At 40.4% G+C, this 6,883-nt stretch overlaps 2 annotated features.

Moving 5' to 3' along the window:
* Positions 4,204-4,712: an enhancer, noted in NCBI's record as "H3K4me1 hESC enhancer chr2:57836435-57836943 (GRCh37/hg19 assembly coordinates)". NCBI's record gives its function as "activates a minimal SCP1, AML or CMV promoter by ChIP-STARR-seq in naive H9 embryonic stem cells {active_cell/tissue: H9 hESC(naive)}" and the evidence as "EXISTENCE:reporter gene assay evidence [ECO:0000049][PMID:30033119]".
* Positions 4,713-5,223: an enhancer, noted in NCBI's record as "H3K4me1 hESC enhancer chr2:57835924-57836434 (GRCh37/hg19 assembly coordinates)". NCBI's record gives its function as "activates a minimal SCP1, AML or CMV promoter by ChIP-STARR-seq in naive H9 embryonic stem cells {active_cell/tissue: H9 hESC(naive)}" and the evidence as "EXISTENCE:reporter gene assay evidence [ECO:0000049][PMID:30033119]".

Genomic DNA, 6,883 nt, shown 5'->3' with positions numbered 1-6,883 from the left:
GATGGAGTTGTTTGTTTTTTTCTTGTCAATTTGTTTGAGTTCATTGTAGATTCTGGATATTAGCCCTTTGTCAGATGAGTAGGTTGCGAAAATGTTCTCCCATTTTGTAGGTTGCCTGTTCACTCGGATGGTAGTTTCTTTTGCTGTGCAGAAGCTCTTTAGTTTAATTAGATCCCATTTGTCAATTTTGGCTTTTGTTGCCACTGCTTTTGGTGTTTTAGGCATGAAGTCCTTGCCCATGCCTATGTCCTGAATGATATTGCCTAGGTTTTCTTCTGGGTTTTTATGGTTTTAGGTCTAATGTTTAAGTCTTTAATCCATCTTGAATTGATGTTTATATAAGGTGTAAGGAAGGGATCCAGTTTCAGCTTTCTACATATGGCTAGCCAGTTTTCCCAGCACCATTTATTAAATAGGGAATCCTTTCCCCATTGCTTGTTTTTCTCAGGTTTGTCAAAGATCAGATAGTTGTAGATATGTGGTGTTATTTCTGAGGGCTCTGTTCTGTTCCATTGATCTATATCTCTGTTTTGGTACCAGTACCATGCTGTTTTGGTTACTGTAGCCTTGTAGTATAGTTTGAAGTCAGGTAGTGTGATGCCTCCAGCTTTGTTCTTTTGGCTTTGGATTGACTTGGTGATGCGGGCTCTTTTTTGGTTCCATATGAACTTTAAAGTAGTTTTTTCCAATTCTGTGAAGAAAGGCATTGGTATCTTGATGGGGACGGCATTGAATCTGTAAATTACCTTGGGCAGTATGGCCATTTTCACGATATTGATTCTTCCTACCCATGAGCATGGAATGTTCTTCCATTTGTTTGTATCCTCTTTTATTTCCTTGAGCAGTGGTTTGTAGTTCTCCTTGTAGAGGTCCTTCACATCCCTTGTAAGTTGGATTCCTAGGTATTTTATTCTCTTTGAAGCAATTGTGAATGGGAGTTCACTCATGATTTGGCTCTCTGTTTGTCTGTTGTTGGTGTATAAGAATGCTTGTGATTTTTGTACATTGATTTTGTATCCTGAGACTTTGCTGAAGTTGCTTATCAGCTTAAGGAGATTTTGGCCTGAGACAATGGGGTTTTCTAGATATACAATCATGTCGTCTGCAAACAGGGACAATTTGACTTCCTCTTTTCCTAATTGAATACCCTTTATTTCCTTCTCCTGCCTAATTGCCCTGGCCAGAACTTCCAACACTATGTTGAATAGGAGTGGTGAGAGAGGGCATCCCTGTCTTGTGCCAGTTTTCAAAGGGAATGCTTCCAGTTTTTGCCCATTCAGTATGATATGGGCTGTGGGTTTGTCATAGATAGCTCTTATTATTTTGAAATACGTCCCATCAATACCTAATTTATTGAGAGTTTTTAGCATGAAGGGTTGTTGAATTTTGTCAAAGGCCTTTTCTGCATCTATTGAGGTAATCATGTGGTTTTTGTCTTTGGCTCTGTTTATATGCTGGATTACATTTATTGATTTGTGTATATTGAACCAGCCTTGCATCCCAGGGATGAAGCCCACTTGATCATGGTGGATAAGCTTTTTGATGTGCTGCTGGATTCGGTTTGCCAGTATTTTATTGAGGATTTTTGCATCAATGTTCATCAGGGAAATTGGTCTAAAATTCTCTTTTTTGGTTGTGTCTCTGCCAGGCTTTGGTATCAGAATGATGCTGGCCTCATAAAATGAGTTAGGGAGGATTCCCTCTTTTTCTATTGATTGGAATAGTTTCAGAAGGAATGGTACCAGTTCCTCCTTGTACCTCTGGTAGAATACGGCTGTGAATCCCTCTGGTCCTGGACTCTTTTTTGTTGGTAAGCTATTGATTATTGCCACAATTTCAGATCCCGTTATTGGTCTATTCAGAGATTCAAGTTCTTCGTGGTTTAGTCTTGGGAGAATGTATGTGTCGAGGAATTTATCCATTTCTTCTAGATTTTCTAGTTTATTTGCGTAGAGGTGTTTGTAGTATTTTCTGATGGTAGTTTGTATTTCTGTGGGATCGGTGGTGATATCCCCTTTATCATTTTTTATTGTGTCTATTTGATTCTTCTCTCTTTTTTTCTTTATTAGTCTTGTTAGTGGTCTATCTATTTTTTTGATCCTTTCAAAAAACCAGCTCCTGGATTCATTAATTTTTTGAAGGGTTTTTCGTGTCTCTATTTCCTTCAGTTCTGCTCTGATTTTAGTTATTTCTTGCCTTCTGCTAGCTTTTGAATGTGTTTGCTCTTGCTTTTCTAGTTCTTTTAATTGTGATGTTAGGGTGTCAATTTTGGATCTTTCCTGCTTTCTCTTGTGGGCATTTAGTGCTATAAATTTCCCTCTACACACTGCTTTGAATGCATCCCAGAGATTCTGCTATGTTGTGTCTTTGTTCTCGTTGGTTTCAAAGAACATCTTTATTTCTGCCTTCATTTCGTTATGTACCCAATAGTCATTCAGGAGCAGGTTGTTCAATTTCCATGTAGTTGAGCGGTTTTGAGTGAGATTCTTAATCCTGAGTTCTAGTTTGATTGCACTGTGGTCTGAGAGATAGTTTGTTATAATTTCTGTTCTTTTACATTTGCTGAGGAGAGCTTTACTTCCAAGTTTGTGGTCAATTTTGGAATAGGTGTGGTGTGGTGCTGAAAAAAATGTATATTCTGTTGATTTGGGGTGGAGAGTTCTGTAGATGTCTATTAGGTCCGCTTGGTGCAGAGCTGAGTTCAATTCCTGGGTATCCTTGTTGACTTTCTGTCTCGTTGATCTGTCTAATATTGACAGTGGGGTGTTAAAGTCTCCCATTATTAATGTGTGGCAGTCTAAGTCTCTTTGTACGTCACTCAGGACTTGCTTTATGAATCTGGGTGCTCCTGTATTGGGTGCATATATATTTAGGATAGTTAGCTCTTCTTGTTGAATTGATCCCTTTACCATTATGTAATGGCCTTCTTTGTCTCTTTTGATCTTTATTGGTTTAAAGTCTGTTTTATCAGAGACTAGGATTGCAACCCCTGCCTTTTTTTGTTTTCCATTTGCTTGATAGATCTTCCTCCATCCTTTTATTTTGAGCCTATGTGTGTCTCTGTATGTGAGATGGGTTTCCTGAATACAGCACACTGATGGGTCTTGACTATTGAATTTGCCAGTCTGTGTCTTTTAATTGGAGCATTTAGTCCATTTACATTTAAAGTTAATATTGTTATGTGTGAATTTGATCCTGTCATGATGATGTTAGCTGGTTATTTTGCTCGTTAGTTGATGCAGTTTCTTCCTAGTCTCGATGCTCTTTACATATTGGCATGATTTTGCAGCGGCTGGTACCGGTTGTTCCTTTCCATGTTTAGTGCTTCCTTCAGGAGCTCTTTTAGGGCAGGCCCGGTGGTGACAAAATCTCTCAGCATTTGCTTGTCCGTAAAGTATTTTATTTCTCCTTCACTTATGAAGCTTAGTTTGGCTGGATATGAAATTCTGGGTTGAAAATTCTTTTAAGTATGTTGAATATTGGCCCCCACTCTCTTCTGGCTTGTAGGGTTTCTGCCGAGAGATCCACTGTTAGTCTGATGGGCTTCCCTTTGAGGGTAACCCGACATTTCTCTCTGGCTGCCCTTAACATTTTTTCCTTCATTTCAACTTTGGTGAATCTGACAATTATGTGTCTTGGAGTTGCTCTTCTCGAGGAGTATCTTTGTGGCGTTCTCTGTATTTCCTGAATCTGAATGTTGGCCTGCCTTGCTAGATTGGGGAAGTTCTCCTGGATAATATCCTGCAGAGTGTTTTCCAACTTGGTTCCATTCTCCCCGTCGCTTTCAGGTACACCAATCAGACATAGATTTGGTCTTTTCTCATAGTCCCATATTTCTTGGAGGCTTTGCTCGTTTCTTTTTATTGTTTTTTCTCTAAAGTTCCCTTCTCACCTCATTTCATTCATTTCATCTTCCATCACTGATACCCTTTCTTCCAGTTGATCGAATCGGCTCCTGAGGCTTCTGCATTCTTCACGTAGTTCTCGAGCCTTGGTTTTCAGCTCCATCAGCTCCTTTAAGCACTTCTCTGTATTGGTTATTCTAGTTATACATTCTTCTAAATTTTTTTCAAAGTATTCAACTTCTTTGCCTTTGGTTTGAATGTCCTCCCGTAGCTCGGAGTAATTTGATCGTCTGAAGCCGTCTTCTCTCAGCTCGTCAAAGTCATTCTCCGTCCAGCTTTGTTCCATTGCTGGTGAGGAGCTGCATTCCTTTGGAGGAGGAGAGGCGCTCTGTGTTTTAGAGTTTCCAGTTTTTCTGTTCTGTTTTTTCCCCATCTTTGTGGTTTTATCTACTTTTGGTCTTTGATGATGGTGATGTCCTTTTGGTGTGGATGTCCTTTCTGTTTGTTAGTTTTCCTTCTAACAGACAGGACCCTCAGCTGCAGGTCTGTTGGAGTACCCTGCCGTGTGAGGTGTCAGTGTGCCCCTGCTGGGGGTGCCTCCCAGTTAGGCTGCTCGAGGGTGAGGGGTCAGGGACCCACTTGAGGAGGCAGTCTGCCCGTTCTCAGTTCTCCAGCTGCGTACTGGGAGAACCACTGCTCTCTTCAAAGCTGTCAGACAGGGACATTTAAGTCTGCAGAGGTTACTGCTGTCTTTTTGTTTGTCTGTGCCCTGCCCCCAGATGTGGAGCCTACAGAGGCAGGCAGGCTTCCTTGAGCTGTGGTGGGCGCCACCCAGTTCGAGCTTCCCTGCTGCTTTGTTCACCTAAGCAAGCCTGGGCAATGGCGGGTGCCCCTCCCCCAGCCTGGCTGCCGCCTTGCAGTTTGATCTCAGACTGCTGTGCTAGCAATCAGCGAGACTCCGTGGGCGTAGGACCCTCCGAGCCAGGTGTGGGATATAATCTCATGGTGCGCCGTTTTTTAAGCCCGTCGGAAAAGCGCAGTATTCGGGTGGGAGTGACCCGATTTTCCAGGTGCTGTCTGTCACCCCTTTCTTTGACTAGGAAAGGGAACTCCCTGACCCCTTGCACTTCCTGAGTGAGGCAATGCCTCACCCTGCTTCGGCTCACGCACGGTGCGCGCACCCACCGACCTGTGCCCACTGTCTGGCACTCCCTAGTGAGATGAACCCGGTACCTCAGATGGAAATGCAGAAATCACCCGTCTTCTGCGTCGCTCACGCTGGGAGCTGTAGATCGGAGCTGTTCCTATTCGGCCATCTTTCCCCATCTGAAGTGTTTATTATACAGTCAGTATCTTACCTTGAATTGATTTATACACGTTTATTCAACTTTTATTTTGAGAATTAAAAAAAATGAAACACACAACCACCACTGTACCCATGGCCCAGAATTTATAGTTGTTAAAAATGCCAGCAGTTTTTCCTGTTTTTCTAAAGAAAAGAAATAACATACTGTGCCTAAATATGAAATATTTTGTCCATCTTCTCATGTCCTATTCACCTCTCTATTCCCAGCAGCAAAAACTATAGAGGCATAAATTTAGTGTGTCTCCTCACATTTATATTTATAGATTGTTATTCATGAATATGATTTCATGAAAAATATATGATATTTTGTGTGATTTTCGTAAAAACTCATACAAGTCATATCATATTGCATACACAGCATTTTGATACTAGCTGTTTACTCTCACCATTTTTGGTAAAGTTCTATTCTTATCAACATGGTCAGGGGTAGTTAGCCTTTTTTGTACCATAGGACCCTTTGGCAGCCCAGCGAACCCAGTGAATTCCTTCTCAGAGTATATTTTAAATTTTTTGTAATAAAATACATAGGATTCCAACGGAACTCAATTATATTAAAATATAAATACCAAAAAGGTAAAAACAAATTATAATATAGGAACATTTTTAAAATTAATGCATTAAACAGTAAGATATAGTGGTGAATCCACAGTACTGTAATTTGGAGAAAGTGATGAATGTAAACAATATTTCTAGATGTCTGCAACCTACAGATTTGAATCTTGACAGTCTCAGGTATGATTCAAGCCACTCTGGTTTGTTGACTGTATTTATAATAAAAGGAAATGCTAAAATTTCAGGTAGAGCCGGGATAATAATGATGTAATTTTATTTTGATTTAAGTTCATGGGTCTTCTGAGTTATTTATGTATTCTTTATAAATTAAATTAACTTTCATTTTATTTTACTTTAGGTTCTGGGATACATGTGCAGAATGTGCAGGTTTGTTACATAGGTATACGTGTGCCATGGTGGTTTGCTGCACCTGTTGACCCATCCTCTGTGTTCCCTCTTCACGTCCCCCAGCCTCCAACAGGCCCTGGTATATGTTATTCCCCTCACTGTGTCCATGTGTTCTCATTGTTCAACTCCCACTTATGAGTGAGACCATGTGGTGTTTGGTTTTCTGTTCCTGTGTTAGTTTGCTGAGAATGATGGCTTCTAGCTTCATCCATGTCCCTGAAAAGGACATGTTCTCATTCCTTTTTATGGCTGCATAGTATTCCACAGTGTATATGTACCACATTTTGTTTAACCAGTCTATTGTTGATGGGCATTTGGGTTGGTTCCATGACTTTGTTATTGTAAGTAGTGCTGCAATAAACATACGTGTGCATGTGGCTTTATAGCAGAATGATTTATAATCCTTTGAGTATATACCCAGCAGTGACATTGCTGGGTCAAGTGGTATTTTTGATTCTAGTTCCTTGAGGAATTGCCATACTATCTTCCACAATGGTTGAACTAATTTACATTCCCACCAACAGTGTAAAAGCATTCCTATTTCTCCACAGCCTGGCCAGCATCTAAATCTTGACTTTTTAATAATCGCCATTCTGACTGACATGAGATGGTATCTCATTGTGGTTTTGATGTGCATTTCTGTAATGATCAGTGATGTTGAGCTTTTTTTCATATGTTTGTTGGCTGTGTAAATGTCTTATTTTGAGAAGTA

This window comes from Homo sapiens, chromosome 2, assembly GCF_000001405.40.
Source record: "Homo sapiens chromosome 2, GRCh38.p14 Primary Assembly".
Classification (NCBI taxonomy): domain Eukaryota; kingdom Metazoa; phylum Chordata; class Mammalia; order Primates; family Hominidae; genus Homo; species Homo sapiens.
This window is presented reverse-complemented; position numbering and strand designations above follow the sequence as displayed.